The sequence below is a fragment of the Homo sapiens genome, chromosome 20 (assembly GCF_000001405.40).
Source record: "Homo sapiens chromosome 20, GRCh38.p14 Primary Assembly".
In the NCBI taxonomy this organism is placed as follows: domain Eukaryota; kingdom Metazoa; phylum Chordata; class Mammalia; order Primates; family Hominidae; genus Homo; species Homo sapiens.
Genome location: NC_000020.11, coordinates 2,939,984 through 2,962,166, shown reverse-complemented (window position 1 = coordinate 2,962,166; position 22,183 = coordinate 2,939,984). Strand labels below are relative to the sequence as shown.

Here is a 22,183-nt window from a genome sequence, read left to right as displayed (position 1 = left end):
ATAGATTCAATGCAATCTCAATCATAATCTCAGCAAGTTATTTTGTGAATATAAAAATGCTGATTCTAAAGTTTACATGGAGAGACATTAAGATTCTGAAGGGGCAACTCAATATTAAAGAAGAGTCAAAGATTAATGCTATTGGACTTCAAGACTTACTTTAAAGCTATGGTAATTAAGACTGTGGTATTAGCAAAAGAAAAGGCAAACAGATCAATGGAACGGAACAGAGATCATAAACAGACCCACATAAATATAGTCAACTGACAAAGGAGCAAAGGCAATAAAATGGAGCAAGATAGTCTTTTCAACAAATGATACTGGAAAGGGACAGCTACATATAGAAAAATTAATCCATATCAGACCTTATTATCTTTCACAAAAATTTAACTAAAAATGAATCATAGACCTAAATATCAATCATAAGACTATAAAATGCCAAGAAGATAACAGGAGAAAATCTAGATGACTTTGGGTATGGCGAGAACTTTTTAGATATAACATCAAAGGCATGATCCATGAGAACATAATTGATAGTCTGGACTTCATTAAAATATAAAATGTCTACTCTGTGAAAGACAATGCCAAGAGAATCAGAGGATAAGCCACAGACTAGGAGAAAATATTTGCAAAAGATAGATCTGACAAAGGACAGAGAATTCTTAAACTCAACAAGAAAAATAACAACCAGATTAAAAATGGGCAAAAGACCTGAAGAGACACCTCACCAAAGAAGATAAACAGTACGGCAAATAAGCATCTGAAAAGACACAGAACATCAAGTCATTAGGTAATTGCAAATTAAAACGGGATACCACTACACATCTATGAAAATGGATTTTGGTTTTAAAATCCAAAACATTTGACAATACTACATGTTTGTAAGAATATGGAGCAGCAGGAACTCTCATTCACTGCTGGTGGGAATGCAAAATGGTACATCCACTTTGGAAGGCAGCTTGGTAGTCTCTCAAAAAAATAAATAAGCTCTTACCATATGATCCAGCAATTGTGCTCCTTGGTATTTAACCAAATGAGATGAAAACTTATGCCACTTAAAAAAAACCTGCACATGGATGTTTACAGCAACTTTATTTATAATTGCCACGACTGGGAGCAATCAAGATATCCTTCAGCAGGCGAATGGATAAATAAGTGATGGCACATCCAGACAATGAAATATTACTCACTGCTAAAAAGAAATAAGCTAAAAACATGAAAATACGTAGAAGAAACTTAAACATATATTACTAAGTGACAGAAGCCAATGTGAAAAACCATGGAGACAGTAAAAGATCACTGGTTAAAAAAAAAAAAAGAAAATAAAAAAGGCCAGGTGCGGTGACTCATGCCTGTAATCCCAACACCTTGAGAGGCCAAGGCAGGCAAATTGCTTGAGCTCAGGAGTTCAAGACCAGCCTGGACAACACAGCAAGACCACATTTCTATAAAAAATACAAAACTTAGCTGGGCATGGTGGTGTGTGTGTGTAGTCTCAGCTATTTAGGAGGCTGAGGTGGGAGGATCACTTGAGCCTGGGAGGTCGACGCTTCAGTGAGGAGTGATCATCACTGCACTCAGGCCTGGGTGACAGAGCAAGACCTTGTTTTTTAAAAAAAAGGTAGGGCGTGGTGGCTCATGCCTGTAATCCCAGCTTTGGGAGGCCGAGGTGGGCGGATCACGAGGTCAGGAGATCGAGACCATCCTGGCTAACATGGTGAAACCCCGTCTCTACTACAAATACAAAAAATTAGCCGGATGTGGTGGCGGGCACCTGTAGTCCCAGCTACTCGGGAGGCTGAGGCAGGAGAATGGCATGAACCCGGGAGGTGGAGCTTGCAGTGACCCAAGATGGCGCCACTGCACTCCGGCCTGGGGGACAGAGTGAGACTCCGTCTCAAAAAAAAAAAAAAAAAATCAGTGGTTGTGCAGTTAGGAAAAGGGAGAGAGGAGTAAGCAGGTGGAGCAGAGGACTGTCAGGGCAGTCAAATTCTTCTGTATGATACTACAATGGTAGACACATGTCATTATACATTTGTCCAAATCTACAGAATGTACAACACCAAAGCTTGGGTGATAATGAGGAGTCAATGTTGGTCCATCAATTGCAACAAAGGTACCACAGTGGTGTAGGATGTGGATAATGAGGAGGCTGTGCAGGTGTTGGGGACAGGTGGTATTTAGGAATGCTCTATATTTTCTTTCTTTCTTTTTTTAGGACGGAGTCTCACTCTGTTGCCCAGGCTGGAGTGCAGGGGCATGACTGTGGCTCACTGTAACCTCCACCTCCCAGGTTCAAGAGATTCTTCTGCCTCAGCCTCCTGAGTAGGTACAGTTACAGGTGTGCACCACCACACCCAGCTAATTTGTGTATTGTTAGTAGACATGGGGTTTCATCATATTGGCCAGGCTGGTCTTAAACTCCTGACCTTGTGATCTGCCCACCTTGGCCTTCCAAAGTGCTGGGATTACAGGTGTGAGCCACCGCGCCTGGCCGGAACTCTCCATACTTTTTGATCAATTTTGCTGTGAACCTGAAACTCTCTAAAACACAAAGTCTATTTTAATTTTTATTTTTTCTTATTTCTCTAAGAAAAAAAAAGTCTATTTTAAAAAAGAAAATGAACTGTCATAAATAATTGAAACAAGAACTCATAACAATACTGAAAACATAACAGTCCAATTTTGAAAAATCTGAAGGACCTAAACAGATAATTTACAGACGAGAAAAACGAACAGCTAAGAAAATACACAAAGAAGTGTTGACTGTCCCCACTAATCAAATGAATATAATGAGATTACATTTTTATTTTCCAAATCAGAAGAGATCAATCATATGAAATATCCAGTGGTTAAATACTGGTGGGAGTAACAATTAGCCTACAATAAAAATTCCTTTCCAGAAAGGTAATACAAGAACAAGGGAAAAGAACAAATGCATGGTGATGGAAGCTGTGGAGAGAATTGGTATGCGTACACTAGGGAGGAAAAGACACATCAGAAGTTAAGAAGATCCATGTCACTAACAGGTACTATATCCATAGACCACGACCAGGAAAATCACAGTGAAAACCTCATCCGTCTCCGAGAAAGACTTTGAGGCAAACTCCTGTGACTTCCCGACCCCCCATATACAATGCATTTGCAACAACACTATCCTTACTTCTCTCTCTGGTTTCCAAATTTCTACTCCAACATCTCAGAGCTCCATTTCAGGAAGTAGGGTTGAGGTCCTCCTCACTCCTCAAGAATGCCATATGCAAAGCATTTCTCCTGGAGCCTGCTCTAACAGTCCCTGTTCTTTTTTTTTTTTTTTTTTTTTGATACAGTCTCGCTCTGTTGCCCAGGCTGGAGTACAGTGGTGTGATCTAGGCTCACTGCCACCTCCGCCTCCTAGGTTCAAGCAATTCTCCTGCCTCAGCCTCCCAAGTAGCTGGGATTACAGGCGCGTGCCACCATGCCTGGCTAATTTTTGTATTTCTTTTTTTTTTTTTTTTTTTTTTTTTTTAGTAGAGATGGGGTTTCACCATGTTGGCCAGGCTGGTCTTGAACTCCTGACCTCAAGTGATCCACCCGCCTTGGCCTCCCAAAATGCTAGGATTATAGGTGTGAGCCACTGTACCCGGCTTAACAGTCCCTGTTCTTGAAAGCTTTTTGCCCTGTGCTTTCCTATCACTGAAGACACTGTAAGTGGCTCAGTTTCCTTCCTGTCCCCCAGGCCTGCTATTCTCCTGGATGACTTCAATATCCTCATGGATGACAACCAAAATCCCCATCTAGGCCAGCCTCTCAGTTCCTTGACTTCCTTCACTCCAACAACGCTTTATCTCTGCTACACTTGGGCCACTCACGACAATGGCTGTACTCCAGATGCTGTCATCACCCAGAAAAGCCCCCATACTGAATAAATCTTGCCTTCCCACTCTCCAACCACACTTTCTATCCTTGTAGTTCTCTCTGTTATGTCTACCACACCTGCTCTCTGACCTCACCCAGGCCTTCAGTCTCTTGAACCCCTCTCTAATTCTTTTCAATATCTCTGCTCTATCTTTATTTCCTTTTCTACCAAATCAAGAAAACTTGGTGTCAGTTCAATCATTCTTTTGTCCTAACTTCCTTCACTACACTGTTCTTCTTTTACACCAACATGGAAAGAAAAATCCCAAACTGTCAGCCCTATACTTGGACTGCCAGATGCTGCTTAAAAAAAAAAAAAAATCAAATAACTCATAAGGGTTGTATCACTACAAATCACTATTTCCGCTTCAGTGGAACCCTAAGCACTTTCTGCAGTCTTTCTGTCTTTCCTTAGCTCTCTCCAATTCTCCATAGCGGTGCCTTCAAACCTCCTCTCCCCTCTAACCATCTCCTCCCACACATGTGGCTGTTGGCCTTGCCTACCCTTCCAAGAAAATAAAAGCCATTGGACTAGACACCCTTAACTCCCCAGTCACTATATCCAGAAATTTTCCCCTTCCCTGAAATTCCATCCAGGAATCTCAGTCCTTTAGGAACCCTGCATTTTTTTCTACCACCATCTCTAGCTTTAACCCCTCCCTTTCATACCAGTTTTTAACACAATTAAGTTTTCAAAGAAGATGAAAAATTTCTTTGCATCTACATCAATCCTTCAGCTATCATTGTCTCTACTCTGCTTCATAGCCAAATCTCTAGAAAGAGTTGTCTCTCCATGGCAATCTGGCTTCTTGTTCCACCATTCCACTAAAACAGCTGCTTCCAGCCTAAAAGTAAAATGGGTAAACGATATGAAACATAACTCACAAAAAACCATACAGTTCTCTTAAATCTATGAAAAGATGCTCAACCTCACTGATGATCAAAGAAATCAATGCTGAGATACCATCTTTTTTTTTTATTATTTGAGACGGAGTCTCGCTCTGTCGCCCAGGCTCGAATGTTGTGGCGCGATCTCGGCTCAGTGCAAGCTCCGCCTCCCAGGTTCATGCCATTCTCCTGCCTCAGCCTTCCGAGTAGCTGGGACTACAGGTGCCCGCCACCACGCCTGGATAATTTTTTGTATTTTTAGTAGAGACAGGGTTTCACTGTGTTGGCCAGGATGGTCTCGATCTCCTGACCCCGTGATCTGCCCGCCTCAGCCTCCCAAAGTGCTGGGATTACAGGCGTGAGCCACTGCGCCTGGCTGAGATACCATTTTTTAATCTATCACACTGGCGAACATAAAAAACTTTGATAATGCTGCATTGGCAAGAGTTTGAGTAAACAGGTACTCTCATATAATCTATAAATATTCATCAGAATTACAAATGCACAACCCCTCTGACACAATTCCACTTCTGGAAACTTATTCCACGGATACATATCCATACTTTCAAAGTGACCCATGTACAAGGTTATTCAATGTAGCATTGTTTTCAAGAGAAGAATACTGGAAATACCCTTAACGTCTATCAATGGGGGAGAGAGACATGATTAAATAAATTATGGCTGATTTATTTATTTATTTATTTATTTATTTATTTATTTTTATTTACTGAGACAGGGTCTTGCTCTCTCACTCTGGTTGGAGTGCAGTGGGACAATCATTGAACTTGGAAGGATAAAGAGTAATTGGCCAAGACAAGGGTCAGACATAGTCTTTCAAACTGAGATGACTTGGAAGCTTGAAAAAGCCTGTCTGGTCCTGGCAACAAGAAAGACCTAGGTAAGGACATCACAGGGGGCTTCAATAAATATCTGCTAAATGAATGTAAAAATGGCAGACATGAAAGACTAGGGTGGGTGAGGAAAGGGTGGGGCGGGGAAATGCACACAATGAGGCTCGAGGAGGCAGCGATCATATCATGAAGGGGCCTGTACATTACAGTGAAAGTTTTAACTTACCACTGAACACACTGAAGAACTACCAAAGGTTTTATCACAGCAAGGTTAAATGGAACAATTTAGATTTTAGAAGCAATGACTGATGGCAGAGTGAAGGATCAACTGGTGGGGTTTGAAGTAAGGAGGGTCACTGACTGAAGCTTTCTGAAGTAATCTAGCCAATAAACCAGATGGATCTCACAGCAGGGCAGGAATATCTAAAGGAGACTGAGAAGAGGATTTATAGGGGTAGAATCGAAGGCTAATGAGATGTTGGAGGTAAGCAAGGCCCAGATGTCTAACTTCAGTGAACTGCAATGCTATAAGCTGGAGGATGACCAGTTTTGGGGAATGTGGTGGGGAAAGTGATGAGGTTAGTTTGAACATGGAGAATGTGTGGTATTAGAGTAGATGTTGTATCTGTGGGGGGTAGGGGGAAAAAAGACAGAATGGCAGACAGGCAATGACAGAGCAGCTGCCCTGGAAGTCAGGCAGAAAGCCAAAAAAAGGGAAGAAGACAGCTCTATGAGTGACAAAAGCAGCAATGAGCTAGCCAGGCAGCAGACATCTGAGAAACACAGTAGGCAGGAGTAGGTGGGTGCTGATGAGTAGAAAACTGATACATACCACCAGGGGAGGGTGGAGTAGGAACAGCACTCTGAAGAGTTGCCAGTGAGAGAAATCAGCTTGAAAAACTGGCAAGCTTCTGAAGAAGTCCTAGAACACCAGATATCAACTTTCATTATATGTCTTCTCTTGAGAAAGGCAATGTGATAGAGAAGTCCAAAACAAGAGAAGAGACCTTCCCCAACATTAGTGAAACTAAGGCACTGGAGAGCAGCTCACTTGCATAGACAACATTATATAGAGAATGAAACTAGACTACTAAGGCTGTGAAATAGATTCTTAACTTCTACTGCTTCTAAGTTCCACCTAAAACAAGATTCAGTTGGGGACCTTGAAAGAGATGAGTCTGGAGGCAAAAGAGTCAGTCAGATTACTACAATAAACAAATACACAAAATAGAATTTGGTATAGGTTTATATTGCAGATTAACACAAAGAACAATATGAAAATTTATTTGTTCTGCTTAAAGCACAACTTGGAACAAACTACTTGATACATGAAACCAAAGTATAGTACAGATTATCTGCATAAAGTAAAAAATAAAAACAAACCAGTGACAATTTTGAAAAAGAACAAAAAAAGGGGAGAAATCTATCTACTCAGTGTTAAGGCTTACTATATAGCTACCATATTTAAGACAGTATTAGCAGAGGAATAGACACATAGATCAATGGAGTAAAATATAGAACCAGTAACAGACTCACATAAATATGCCCAAATAAAAGTTGCAAAAGCAATTCAATGGACAGCCTTTTCATCAAATGGTACTCAGAAAACTGTATATCTACACGTGAAACAATAACGCTGGACCCCTCCCTTATACCACTTGCAAAAATTAACTAAAAATGGGTCGAAAACCTAAATTTAAGTCCTAAAACTATAAAACTCAGAAGGAAACAGAGGGCAAAGCTTCATGACTTTGGATTTGGCAAAAATTTCTTGGATATAACACCAAAAGCACAAGCAACAAAACAAAACACAGACTAAGCAGGACCTCATCAATATTAAAAACTTCTGTGAATCAAGGATACTATAACAGAATGAAAAAGCAATCCATGGATGGGAAAAAATGTATGCCAATCACATATCCAATAAGGAACCGAAATGCAGAATATACAAAGAGCTCCTACAACTCAACAACAACAAAAACAACCTAATTTTTAAAATGGGCAAAGGGGCCAGGTGTGGTGGCTCATGCCTGTAATCCCAGCACTTTGGGAGGCCGAGGTGGGAGAATGACTTGAGCTCAGAAGTTCAAGACCAGCCTGGCCAACACAGTGAGACCTCATCTCTACAAAATACATTTAAAAGTTAGCTGGGGGCCAGGTGTGGTGGCGCACGCCTGTAATCCCAGCCCTTTGGGAGGTCAAGGTGGGTGGATCACCTGAGGTCAGGAGTTCGAGCCCAGCCTGGCCAACATGGTGAAACCCCATCTCTACTAAAAATACAAAAAATTAGCCAGGCGTGGTGGCGGGCGCCTGTAATCCCAGCTACTCAGGAGGCTGAGGCAGGAAAATCACTTGAACCCAGGAAGAGGAGGTTGCAGTGAGCCAAGATCATGCCATTGCACTCCAGCCTGGGCAACAAGAGCAAAACTCTCAAAAAAAAAAAAAAAAAAAAAGTTAGCCGGGTATGGTGGCACATGCCTGTAGACGTAGCTACATGGAAGGCTGAGGCAGGAGGATTGCTTGGGTCCAGGAGTTTGAGGTTACAGTGAGATACGAATGGTGCCACTGCACTACAGCTTGGGAGACAGCTTGTCTCTAAAAAAAAAAAAAAATAGTAAAAACAAAACAAAACAAAACCCTGGCTGTGCATGGTGGCTCACCCCTGTAATCCCAACACTTTGGGAGGCCAAGGTGGATGGATCGTGGACCAGCCTGGCCAACACAGTGAAACCCCATCTCTACTAAAAATACAAAAACTAGCTGGGTGTGGTGGCGGGCGCCTGTAGTCCCAGCCACTTGGAAGTCTGAGGCAGGAGAAGTGCTTGAACCCAGGAGACGGAGGTTGAGGTGAGCCGAGATCACGTCACTACACTCCAGCCAGGGCAACACAGCAAGATTCTGTCTCAAAAAAAAAAAACAAAACACCAAAAAACCTATTTCATACCCATTAGGATGGCTATTGTTTAAAAATAAAAAATGGCCAGGCATAGTGGCTCACGCCTGTAATCCCAGCACTTCGGGAGGCTGAGGCGGGTGAATCACAAGGTCCGGAGATCGAGACCATCCTGATTAACACAGTGAAACCCCACCTCTACTAAAAATACAAAAAATTAGCCAGGCGTGGTAACGCGCGCCTGTAGTCCCAGCTACTCGGAGGCTGAGGCAGGAGAATCGCTTGAACCCGGGGGGCAGAGGTTGCAGTGAGCCGAGATTGCGCCACTACACTTCAGCCTGGGTGACAGAGTGAGACTCTGCCTCAAAAAAAAAATAAATAAATAAAATAAAAAACCCCAAAATAAAAAAAATCCAGAAAACAACAAGGGTTGGCAAGAATGTTAACAAATTGGAACCCTGAACACTGCTGGTTGGAATGTAAATGGTACCACTACTATAGAAATCAGTATGGCAATTCCTCAAAAAACTAAATACAGTATTAACATATGACCCAGCAATTCTACTTTTGGGAACATACTCAAAAGAATTGAAAGCAGGAACTCGAACAGATATTTATACAACAACATTCACAGCAGCATTATTCACAATAGCCAAAAGGAGGAAGCAACTTAAATGTCCATCAACAGATGAATGGATAAAATGTGGTATATACATAGGATGGAATGTTAGCCTTAAAAAGGAAGGAAATTCTGACACATGCTACCACATGGATGAAACTTGAAGACATTATACTAATAAGCCAGTCACAAAATGAAAATATTGTATGACTCCACTTATATGAAGTACTTAGAGCAGTCAAACTCATAGAGAAGGAAAACAGAACGATGGTTGCCAGGGGCTGGAGTAAGGGGGAATGAGAAGTTAGTGTTTAAATGGGTACAGAATTTCAGTCAGGGAGGATGAAAAAGTTCCAGAGATGGATGGCGGTGATGGTTGCACAACAATGTGACTATGCTTAATACCACAAAACTGTATACTTACAAAGAGTTAAAATGTTAAATTTTGTATTATGTGTATATTTTAACTACAATTTTTTTTAAAAGACATGAGAATAACAAACTAAATCACAGGCTGGGAAAAAATTTTGCAAAAAATATATCTGACAAAGGATTGGTATCCAGATATATAAAGAACTCTCAAAGCTCAACAGTAAGAAAATAAGTATTCCAACAAAATAATGGGCAAAATATTTGAACAGATATTTTTATCAAAGAAGATATATGAAAGGGAAATAAGCACATGAAAGATGCTGCAAACTATTAATCATTAGGAAAATAAAAAGTAAAACATAAAATACCAGTATATGCCCACTAAAGTGACTAAAATTAAAAGATCAGCTATACCAAGTGCTGTCAAGGATATGGAGCAATCAGTACCCTCAGACATTGTTGTTGCAAATATAAAATGGTACAACCATTTTGGAGTATCATTTGACAGTTTTTTTTTTTTCTTTTTTTGAGATGGAGTCTCGCTCTGTCACCAGGCTGGAGTGCCGTGGTGCAATCTTGGCTCACCGCAACCTCTGCCTCCTGGGTTCAAGAGATTCCCTGCCTCAGTCTCCTGAGTAGCTGGGATTACAGGCACGCACCACCATGCCCAGCTAATTTTTCTACTTTTAGTAGAGAGGGGGTTTCACCTCAATCTCTTGACCTCGTGATCCGCCTGCCTTGGCCTCCCAAAGTGCTGGGATTACAGGCATGAGCCACCGCGCCCAGCCTTAAAACAGATTTTATTGTTATTCAAATATGATGAGGCCAACAGATCACAAGATGATTGCCGCTGACAAGACAGTTACTCGCAGTTCCGAAGAGGAAGGTGCACACCATGCCATGCAGGGGCCACATGAGGAAGCACTAGCTAGGGTCAGTAAGGAGGTCAATGGAATGGGATGAAAACATGGGCAAGAGCCTTTATGTGGTTTCAGCGGAAGGAATGGGCAAGGCAGGGTAAGCATGTTTAGGACTGGCTAGTTTGAATAATTTCAGTGAGTTCTGCAGCATAGGGATGTCCCGAGTTTCCTGGTACCTGATCTTGAAATGAACAGGGCAGGTGGATTGTAGCAGAGAGGTGTCAAAGTCCTATGAGAGCGACATAAAGGAGGCAGCTAGATTATGAGTGAGTTATTCACTGTCTCTAGGAATTGGCTAGCCCTGACAAAGGATCAGAAACACATAGTTGCTGGGCGCAGTGGCTCCTGCCTGTAATCCCAGCGCTTTGGGAGGCTGAGGTGGGCGGATCACGAGGTCAGGAGATCGAGACCATCCTGGCTAACATGGTGAAACCCCGTCTCTACTAAAAATACAAAAACTAGCTGGGCGTGGTGGCGGGCACGCCTGGAGTCCCAGCTACTCGGGAGGCAGAGGTAGGAGAATGGTGTGAACCCCGGAGTCGGAGCTGGCAGTAAGCCGAGATCGCCCCACTGCACTTTAGCCTGGGTGACAAAGCGAGACTCCGTCTAAAAAAAAAAGAAAGAAAGAAAGAAACAAACAAACAAACAAACACATGGTTAATACTATACTACATGATTTCACTTGTATAAAACTCTAGAAAATACAATCTAATCTATAGTGGCAGAAAACAGACCAATGGTTGCTTAAGGATGAGGGAGTGGGCAGGGGCAAGAGGCAGTGATTATAAAAGACACAAGAAAACTTTGGGGAGAGATTATATGTTCACACTCTTGTTGTGGTGATATTTCCCTGCTATATACATGGATCAAAATGTAATAAATTTTACACTTTAAATGTGTACAGGTTATTGTTACATCAATTATAAAGTTGTTTAAGAATTATAGGAATAATCAATGAAAAGAAATACAATGAAAAGAATTTCATTTTATTGTATAATAAAAATGAAACAAAGCCAAAAGTAGTTATTTGATAAATTAACAAACAGGTAAAAAGAGAAGACACAAGTAAATTTTTTTTTTTTTTGAGATGGAGTCTCGCTCTGTCGCCCAGGCTGGAGTGCAGTGGTGCGATCTCGGCTCACTGCAACCTCCGCCTCCTGGGTTCACGCCATTCTCCTGCCTCAGCCTTCTGAGTAGCTGGGACTACAGGTGCCTGCCACCACGCCCGGCTAATTTTTTTTTTTGTATTTTTAGTAGAGACGGGGTTTCACCATGATGGCCAGGATGGTCTCGATCTCTTGACCTCGTGATCCGCCCGCCTCGGCCTCCCAAAGTGCTGGGATTACAGGTGTGAGCCACGACGCCTGGCCCACAAGTTAATATTATAAATCAAATGTGGAAATAATTACAGAAGTAGCAGATAAAAAACAGATTATCCACAATTATAGGCAAATAAAACTAAGAAAAATGAACGAATCTCTAGAAAAAGAATAAAAAACTAGCCCAGGAAGAACAAAAGACCTGAATATTCTTACAATTAAAGAGGTTGACCACAAGTTCAAATTTGTCCCACATAAAAAACACTGGACCCAGATGCTATTATAGGTGAGAAAACAAGAGTGACTAGTTCCCAGCTCATTCTAAGGAGAGAGCAAAACCAGGCACCAAAACTGGACAGAAACATTACAAGAAAGAAAATCACAGGCTCACTTTTACACAATAATATATATTCAAAAATCATAACAAAGTATCAACAAATTGAATCTAGCATATAAAAAAGATAAATCATGATCCAGTTGAGTTTATCCAAGATATACAAGGATATTTTAACATAAAATCTATAAATATAATTCACCCATATTAAAAGAGTTCATACAACCATTTCAACTGATGTAGAAAATGCATTAGATAAAAACATATGAATTCAAGATTTTAAAAAATCCTTTTAAATAGAAATAGAAGAAACCTTCCTTAACCTGATAAAAGTTACTATTTAAAAAAAAAAACAATACGCAATTATCTTCAACAGAGAGAAACGGAAAGCATTCCTTTGAAAATCAGAAATAAAGTAATCTACTATCACTTCTATTCAGTATTGTATGAAAAGTCTGCCTTCGCAACAAGAAAAGAAATTTGGCCAGGCACAGTGGCTCATGCCACTGTAATGGCACTTTGGGAGGCTGAGATGGGAGGATTGCTTGAGCCCAGGAGTTCAAGACCAGGCTGGACAACATAGCAAAACCTTGTCTCTACGAAAAATTTTAAAAAGAAAAAGAAATTAAAATTATAACAATTAGAAAGGAGACTAATACTTGCAGAAAATCTGATTGTTTACATAGAAAACCTACGAGAATTTAGGCCAGGCATGGTGACAAAGCGAGAAAACATCTGAAAATAAAAAAATTAAAAAAAAAAAAAAGAAAATCTACAAGAATCCATAGGAAGTAAGTTATTGGAAATAACAGGGTAACTTTGTCAAGGTGATTAGATAGGTAATTTTTATACCCTAGCAAAAATAGCCACTGATTTGCACTCAAGAAAGGGTCTATTAGGTTAGGCAAGAACTAATCATGTGTAAATACTGATAAGGAATCAGATGGGAAGGAAGGGAAGGTACATAAGAAAGGCAAAAGTGGGAGAAGTTGTAGAAAAGTGAGAGAACTGAAATCTGACATCTTAAAGATTTCCCCATAAGTATGCAGCAAGATCACAGGCAAAGAGAGAAGGGGGAGATAGTGGGATATGGTTTTTTATTTTTATTTACTTTTTTTTTTTGAGACGGAGTCTCGCTCTGTCACCCAGGCTGGAGTGCAGTGGTGCAATCTCGGCTCACTGCAAGCTCCGCCTCCCGGGTTCACGCCATTCTCCTGCCTCAGCCTCCCCAGCAGCTGGGACTACAGGTGCCCGCCACCACGCCCAGCTAATTTTTTTCTATTTTTAGTACAGACAGGGTTTCACTGTGTTAGCCAGGATGGTCTTGATCTCCTGACCTTGTGATCCGCCCACCTTGGCCTCCCAAAGTGCTGGGATTCCAGGCGTGAGCCACCGTGCCTGGTGGTTTTTTAAAGTATTAAGAATAATACTGGTGCTATAGAAAATGGCGGGAAGTGCTGACACCAGGCAGCCCAGCAGTCCTGAGGGCCCAGGTGAGATAAGATCCATTTTTCCAGGATTCTTTTCTGAAAAAATGCTCTAAGCACTAATGGTATGGCAAACATACAGAATTAAGGTTTTGCTAGATGAATGTAATGAAACTATAAGCAACGAGGTTGAGTACTGGGAAGAGAATGGATGAACTGCTGAACCACAGAGTCTAGCATTGACAGGAAACTAAAGCAGATACTAGAGACATTAGAGAAAATAAAAAACTTAAGTGGCTAAAACCCCAAAAGTTGAGAATATTTTATAGTGGGAATAACATAGTAGGTAAACTGGAAGGCTCCAAGAAGCTAATTTCACCAGAATTTTTTGGAGCCTATTGTAGTTGATGGGCTATAGTCCTTGAAAAATCAACACATATCACTAATTTTAAATACCATTCCCTTGACATGTATCGGTCTCAGTAAAATGCAAATCCTTTACTATGCACCCCCACCCCAGATTATGCCATAAGCAGCTTGCTAAGTAGCCCTTCAGAATTCCATGTTTCCTTTCTTCCTCTATTCTTGTAGAAAAAACTTAAAAAACTATTTCAGTACTTACTAGCTTCTTTTAAAAAGTTAATTATGCTCTTTGAACATGTGTCCTAGAAAAAAAGAAATAAAAAACAGTTAATTAGGAGTATCTAGGTTATGTGAAGCATTCATCAACCTCCTATTGACAGAAATTATCGATAGGCAAATTTTATATATAAGTAACTTTAACATGAACACTTCTTAAACTTTGGCCTCATAATTTCACAAAAATTAGGCTGCAAGTCACCATATTCATCAGATACTGGCAGACACTAACTTCTGCGGCTATGACACCAAGCAATACTGAAATCTCTTATCTTTCCAGGGGGGTTGTTCATGTATTCAGTGTTTGCAAAGAGTTCCTGCTGAGCTAAACACAGTCCACTGTGCACTCTACGAAAGAGTCCATGAGACAAGCATGGGGGAGGGTAGGAAGTTTAATACTTTCACAATGCCTGTGGAGACGCTGGCAGTGATGAAAGCCTAGAAAACTCATGAAAGGACCTTTTATGAGCAGGGTGAATGTAGAGCACAAAAGCAAAGTCAGATGACCCACTTAAAGCTTTGCCTTTACTGATGAGAATTCATTCTCATTCCAGATTAGTCTCTCTCTAGAAAAAGCAAACCTTATATAAGAGTTGGAAAATTAAGATACAGGAAGTATAATTCTACTAAATTCCAGTTTTTCCTTCTCAAATATCAGCCTAAGTCCTAAGGTCTGTGGCCAAAGACAGAAAATACAAGGCGCTGAGAAATATGCTATTTATCTTGGTGTAACAATCTCTGACTGTTGGGGTTTGAGGAAATTTAAGCTCTACAATCCATAGATCAGACCAGAAGTTTAGGGTAGTAATATTATGAGAGGAAATAGTTTCTTTCTGGAACTTATATAAAGCAAATAAATGGTAAACCTGATTTGCAAGGTAATGACAGTCCAAGTTCCTTCAAAGCAGAGAACCACTTATTTGCTCATTCATTCAACTAAGTTCCTTGTCTTGTGCCAGGCTGGAGAGAGAAAGCAGCTCCTGTCCTCAAGGAGCTCACATCTCAGGCATCTTCTCACCCTCCTTTCTCATGTTAACCAAAACATTTCAGGTTCATCAATGAAACTCTTCATCCAGGAGGCAGATAAAATGGCTTCTCTTCATTTTGATTCATTTACTCTTTCTTTTATTTATTTTATTATTATTATTTTTTTTTTTTCTGAGAAGGAGTCTCGCTCTGTTGCCCAGGCTGGAGTGCAGTGGCGTGATCTCGGCTCACTGCAACCTCTGCCTCCCGGGTTCAAGCGATTCTCCTGCCTCAGCCTCCCAAGTAGCTGGGATTACAGGCATGCGCCACCACGCCCGGCTAATTTTTGTAATTTTAGTAGAGATGGGGTTTCACCATGTTGGTCAGGCTGGTGTCAAACTCCTGACCTTGTGATCCGCCTGCCTCAGCCTCCCAAAGTGCTGGGATTACAGGTGTGAGCCACCATGCCCGGCCTACTCTTTCTTTTAAACAGAGAAATAAGATGGAATATTTTTATCCCATCTTTTCTTCTGTAATTAAAAAAGGAATACGAAGAAACTTGACATAGTCTCTCTCCTCATGTGCTCTCTTACTTCCCATCCCAATTCCATGTTTGCTCTCTTTTTCCTCTCTCCTTCTGTTTTGTTGTGAATGAAGAATTAGGTAACTAGTCCAAAACTACAGAGCTACACCTGGAGCCTAGATTCACTGGTAGCCAAATCACTAATTTTTCTGAAGGTAAATGGGAGAAAAATGGGGGTTGGGGGGAAAGCTCATTAATACAGTTCTAAGTCAATCTCAACTCCCCACTGCGCAACCTCCCCTCCCTCCTCCCACATACTTTTTTGGTTGTCATCTAGTCTTCACACTGGTAACTGCTTCTGCCTGGCGGTTTCTGTTCTAAGCCCTCTTAGTTTTTGGCTTAAACAAAACCTGTCCCTGCTAATTATGGTAGACCCATTCTTATCCCCTGTGTAGTCCAAATATTCACAACCATAGCAGCCTACTCATTGCTTTCATAGAACTTAATATATTTATTAATTACTTAGCTATATAAATATATCTATCTTAAAGATATAGATATATATATATACACACACGCATATATATATTGAGATGGAGTCTCACTCTGTCACCCAGGCTGGATTACAGTGGCACAATCTCAGCTCACTGCAACCTCTACCTCCCGGGCTTGAGTGACTGTCATGCCGCAGCCTCTCGAGTAGCTGGGATTACAGGCACCTGCCACCACGTCTGGCTAATTTTTGTATTTTCAGAAGAGACAGGGTTTCACCATGTTGGCAAGGCTGGCCTCAAACTCCTGACCTCAAGTGATCCACCTGCCTTGACTTCATAAAGTGCTGGGATTACAGGTGTAAGCCACTGTACCCGGCCTATAATAAATAAATAAATAAATATTTATTTATTTACACACACACACACACACACACACACACACCTGCCAATTATAATCAAGCTCCGTGCTCCATACAGACCAAAGAGAGGTCTGCTCTGCTCACAAGACCTACCCAACATCTAGCAAAGTACTCCACACATAATAGGTATATTAGGTAGTGAAATGAAGTTGACCACCCCTGTAGGGACTACAGCCCTGCTTAAAAGCAAATCAGTCCCTGAAACTGAATTAAAATGATTGAAGACTCCTAGGCAAAGCTAGAAACAAACGTAAATCCTCTCTTGAAAAATATATCATAGGTCTCAGGTCATTTCTATAAATAATTTTAAAACTACAGTGTCTAGTCCATAAAAAGGCAACATGAGAATCAGTAAGAAACAGACAAGAAGAACAGTCCTGTAGCATTAAGAATTTTAGTCAAGAATGGTATAAAAATGTAATAGCAGATCTGAAAAAAAGATCTTAATGGATAAATTTAAGAACAGGTAAAATATACCTGAAGAGAGAATTAGTGAGCTGGTAAATAGGTCAAAAGGAAGTATCTAGAATGAAGCAGAGAGAAGCAAAAAGATTTATAAAAAAATACCAAAGAGAAGGTAAGAGGTATAAAGGATACAATGAAATGATCTAACCTACATGTAATTTCAGTTTCAGAAAAGCGGAAAGGGAGAAATGGAACAGAAGAAATATTCGAAGAACAGACGAAGGCTGAAAATTCTCCAAAACTGAGGAAAAACATCAAACCACAGATCCAAGAAGCCCTAAACACCCCCCAAACAGATAAATAAAAAGGAAATCTGTGTCTAGATACACAATAGTGAAATTTCTGAAAACCAAATAATTATTTAAAAACAATTTTTTTAAGCACTCGAAAGGAAAAAAGACACTGTGGTAGACTGTTTGCAAAGATGGCTACGTAAAATCCCATCCTTGTACACATGCCTTTTACAGTGAGACACTGCCACTCCTATCAACAGGTGAAGTTTATTTCTCCATTCCTTTAATTTGAGTTGGCCCTGTGACTTGCTTAAACCAATAAAATGCAGAAGTAATGGTGTGTCTTCCAAGTTGATACCTCAAGAGAACTTACAGCTGTCATTTGGCTCTATGGGAACACTGCTGTCATAATGTGAGAAGCTTTGGCTCACTTCCTTACGTTAAGAGAGAGGCCCAATCAACAAGTGACACCAACTGCCAGACATGTGCTTGAGACAATCTCAGTCCCAGATGAACCATTAGATGATTACAGTTGCATGAATGACTTCAATCAAGACCAGCAGAGGGGCCAGGCATGGTGGCTCACGCCTGTAATCCCAGCACTTTGGGAGGCCGAGGCAGGTGGATCATTTGAGGTGAGGAGTTCGAGACCAGCCTGGCCAACATGGTGAAACCCTATATCTACTAAAAATAAAAAAATTAGCCAGGTGGTAGTGGTGTGTGTCTGTAATCCCAGCTACTCAGAAGGTTGAGACAGGACAATTGCTTGAGCCTGGGAGGCGGAGGTTACAGTGAGCCGAGATCATGCCACTGCACTCCAGCCTGGGTGGCAGAGTGAGACCCTGTCTAAAAAAAAAAAAAAAAAAAAGACCAGTAGAGGAACCAAACAGCTACCCAGCATTGATTGATATTCACAGAATTGTGAGCCAATTTTTGATGGTTGTTGCTTTAAAATATTAAATTTGGGGATGTTTTGCTAGGCAGCAATAGAAAATGGATACGAAAATATTTTCGTCAAAAAAAATTAGATTAACAGCTGATCATAATACTTAAGTATTAACTTTTTCTTAAACTTTAGAATTTAAGTTGCAGGATATCAAGAAGAGTAAACATCAACCAAATAATCTGCATCCTCTTTTAGAGAAAGGAATAGTGTGTTTTCGGCTACATGCAAGATAGTTCTTTCATGCTAAGCAGAAGTATGACTTTGTTACTGTCTTTATTTGGAGATTAATAATGGTTTAAGGAGATGTGTATGGGTGCCAAGTTGATAAAGAGTAGACTTGTGATTGTTAATTTGGTTGGGCCACACCACAGTGTCCAGATATTTGGTTAAAGGTTATTCTGGATATTTCTGTGAGGGGTTTTTTTGGATGAGATTTACATTTAAATCAATGGACTCTTGAGTACAGAAGGTTGCCCTCCATAATGTAGGTGGGCTTCATCCATACAACTGAAGGTCTGAATAGCACAAAAGGCTGACCTTCCCCACGCAAGAGGGAATTCTCCAGCAGACTACCCTTGAACTTGAAGTGCAGTTCCTTCCTGGGTCTCCAGCCTGCTAGCCTCCCCCACTGTGAATCAATCCCTTAAAATAAATCTATATAATATGTATGTAATATATGACTAATATTTAATATAATAAGCATATATTTAATATAATTTCAGTACTACCCCCTTATCTGGGGGGGGGGTGGGGGGATATGTTCCAAGACTCCCAGTAGATGCCTGAAACCACAGATGGTACTGAACCCTACGTAAACTGTATTTCATTCCTATACATGCAGGCTATGTGTTGTAATCTGTAGGGTAACCACTAAAAGAACAGGGTCTATAACTTGGCAAGAGGGAAAAAAGCTAGGATAGTAAAAAAGTCTATCAATCCAAAAAGCAAGAAAAAAGAGAAAAAGGAACATGCTGGCATATTATTATAAGTATTGTATTTTATTATTAGTTATTGTTAATTTTTTACTGTGCCTAATTTATAAATTAAACTTTATCACAGCTATGTATGTATAGGAAAATATATATCTGTGGTTTTAGGCATCCACTGGGGGTCTTGGAATATAATGCTTCCCCCAGATAAGAAGGTACTACTGTAATTATATTATATGTCATATTAAGTATACATTAATTCTACTAGGTAGTAGCCACATTATATATTAATTATATTAAATATATATCATATAGAATTATTTTAAGGAATTGACTCATAATAGAAGAGGCTGGCAGGCTGGAGATTCAGGGAGGAGTTGCATTTCAAGTGCAAAGGCAGACTGCCAGAGAATTCCCTCTTGCTTGGGGGAGGTCAGCCTTTTGTTCTATTCAAATCTTTGAGGAAAATAGAAAGCAAAGAATATATTAACTATATTAAACAAACTAAATGTTCCAATTAAAATACAAAAATTATAAAGCCTAATAATAAAAGCCCTCAATTATATGCTGTTTAAAAGAGACATTTTTAAGCTTAAGGATATAGAAAAGTTGAAAATAAAAGAATGGAATAAAATAAGCCATGAAAATACTAGTATAACACTGATGTCAAAATCTGACAAAGCACACAAAAAAGAAAATAACTTTAACTGCAAAATCTTAAAATCCTAGCAAAGAAAAAGCAGCATATGTTATAATTATACCACAACCTGATCAAGTAAGGCTTACTTCAAAAATTTAACCATGGTCCATTATTGGAAAACATATTAATAAAAATCCTCACAAAAATAATTCAAAATATAAAAAGCCATATGATAAGCCTGATGAATGCTGGTTTACAGAACTGGTTTTCTTTAAAAAGGCAATCATTGGGGAAATAACCCGCTTACTCAGTATTTACTATGTGCTAGGCCCTGTTCCTTCTACTAGAAATAGTGAACAAATTCTAACAGAATCCCTATCTTCATGAAGCTTACAGTCTAGTAGCAGAAAACTGACATTAAACAAATCACCTCACAGACAAATAGGAGAAGTGATGGAAAAGAGAATTATAGGACTCTAAGAGCCTATAGAAGAAGAAAATTTGACCTAGTCAGGGAGCTCAGCCAAGGCCTCCCTAAGGCACTGATTCCTGAGCTGACAAGTAGAAGATGAACAGGAATCAGGGAGGCATTAAGGAGGGCAGGGAACTCCATGCCAGTCCGTAACCTCAGAAAGGGCAGGAGCAGGGTCTGAAAGAAGCCACCGTGTCTGAAGTATAAAGAGTAAGGGGGAGCAGGTGCCAGGAAGCTGGAGATGTATACAGGGTAGGGCCACACAAGGGTGATTTTTCTTTGTCCCATAAGCATTAAGAAGCCTTTGAAGAACAGAAGCATGACAGTGACCTCCCTGCCCTGCATTTTGGAATGAACACTTCATTTAGCTGGGTGTAGAGAATATAGCACTGGATGTGGACAGTCCAGTTAGAAGTTACTGGTGGAGACACAAAAGTGTTACAAGGAAGGAGATATTCAGGAAGTAAACTGCACAGGGTGTGATAATAGATTTGCTCTTGGGGTGACAGGGAGTGCTGAATGCTACTCCTCTTTGGTTTCTGATTTACCTAACAGATGCCATCCAGTAAGTCAGATAACAGAGGAAAAGAGACAAGGCGTAGTGGCTCATGCCTGTAATCCCAGCACTTTGGGAGGCCAAGGAGGGCAGATCACCTGAGGTCAGGAGTTCAAGACCAGCCTGGCCAACATGGTGAAACCCCATCTCTACTAAAAATACAAAAATTAGCCTGGCGTGATTGCAGGCACCTGTAATCCCAGCTACTAGGGAGGCCGAGGCAGGAGAACTGCTTGAACCCAGGAGGCAGAGGTTGCAGTGAGTTGAGATCGCGCCACTGAACTCCAGCCTGGGTGACAGAGCGAGACTGTCTCAAAAAACCAAAGAAACAAAAAAAACCCCCAAAAAAAAACCAGAAGAAAAGAACACGTTTTGTGAGAGAAATATCTCACAAATACCTAGAAACCAGAAACAAAAGAAACTTTCACCCAAGAAAATTATGTATCTTGAAATATCAGTATCACTAAAGCAGGACAAGAAAGGGACAATGGTTTCACTTCTAGGATTTACAAATCATCTGGAAAAAGGGCTGGCAATTAAGTCTCTGCTTCAACTACTCAACTCTGCTGTCGTACCATGAAGGCAGCCACAGACAATATATAAACAAATGAACATGGCATATTCTAATAAAACGCTGAAATTTGAATTTCATATAATTTCTTTTTTTCTCTCTCTCTTTTTCTCTCTGAGACAGGAGGATCCCATGAGCCTGGGAGGTCGAGGCTGAAGTGAGCTGTGTTTACACCAATGCACTCCAGCCTCAGTGACAAAGTGAGACCTGTCTCCAAAAAAAAGGAAAACCTATTCTGAGCTTGTCTGCCATACCAAAATAAGCAGTGAGCTGGATATGGGAAACAGATTATAGTTTGCCAATCCTTGTTCTAAAAGTAGATAATGGGATAAGAAAACAGCTAGGTATGGGGGTATATGCCTGTAGTCCCAGATACTTGGAAGGCTGAGGGAGGAGGATTGCCTGAGCACAGGAGTTCAAGTCCAGCCTAGGCGATACAGCGAGACCCGGTCTCTTTAAAAAAAAAAAAAAGAAAAGAAAAGAAAACAAGATATAATTATTGGGGGAAAACCCCTTAACTGTTATTTGTATTTGAAAGACTACGTACATAGGTTAAAAAAAACTACTGGAACTAAAGTTCATAATTTAAAATTGCAGCAGGGATTTACAGTTCAGGAAAAGATGGAGTAAGCATATTCCACCCTATTCCTCCCACTGATTTGTTTTTGTTTTTGTTTTTGTTTGAGATGGAGTTTTGCTCTTCTTGCCCAGGCTGGAGCGCAGTGGCGCGATCTCAGCTCACTGCAACCTCCACCTCCTGGGTTCAAACGATTCTCCTATCTGAGCCTCCCAAGTAGCTGGGATTACAGG

The 22,183-nt window shown here is 40.5% G+C and overlaps 1 protein-coding gene across 28 annotated transcripts in view, besides 1 other annotated feature; it reads right to left on the bottom strand.

Annotated features, from left to right (window-relative positions):
* Nucleotides 1-22,183, bottom strand: part of PTPRA (protein tyrosine phosphatase receptor type A) — a 174,486-nt gene that overhangs the window by 76,503 nt on the left and 75,800 nt on the right. For 17 of the 28 annotated variants that reach the window (NR_170936.1, NM_002836.4, NM_001388321.1 and 14 more), the window contains one exon: nt 14,143-14,185. The exons of 9 other annotated variants lie outside the window; for them this stretch is intronic. Coding sequence is in view for 1 of the 19 variants with exons in the window: in NM_001385316.1 (NP_001372245.1) it covers nt 14,143-14,185 (43 nt within the window). In the remaining 18 variants the exon portion in view is untranslated. Of the gene's footprint in view, nt 1-6,468; nt 6,559-14,142; nt 14,186-22,183 lie in introns of all 28 variants that reach the window. 2 more of the 28 variants (NM_001388320.1, NM_080841.3) reach the window with 1 other exon arrangement.
* Nucleotides 6,682-6,741: an enhancer, noted in NCBI's record as "active region_17473". NCBI's record gives its function as "activates an Ori minimal core promoter by ATAC-STARR-seq in GM12878 lymphoblastoid cells {active_cell/tissue: GM12878}" and the evidence as "EXISTENCE:reporter gene assay evidence [ECO:0000049][PMID:35858748]".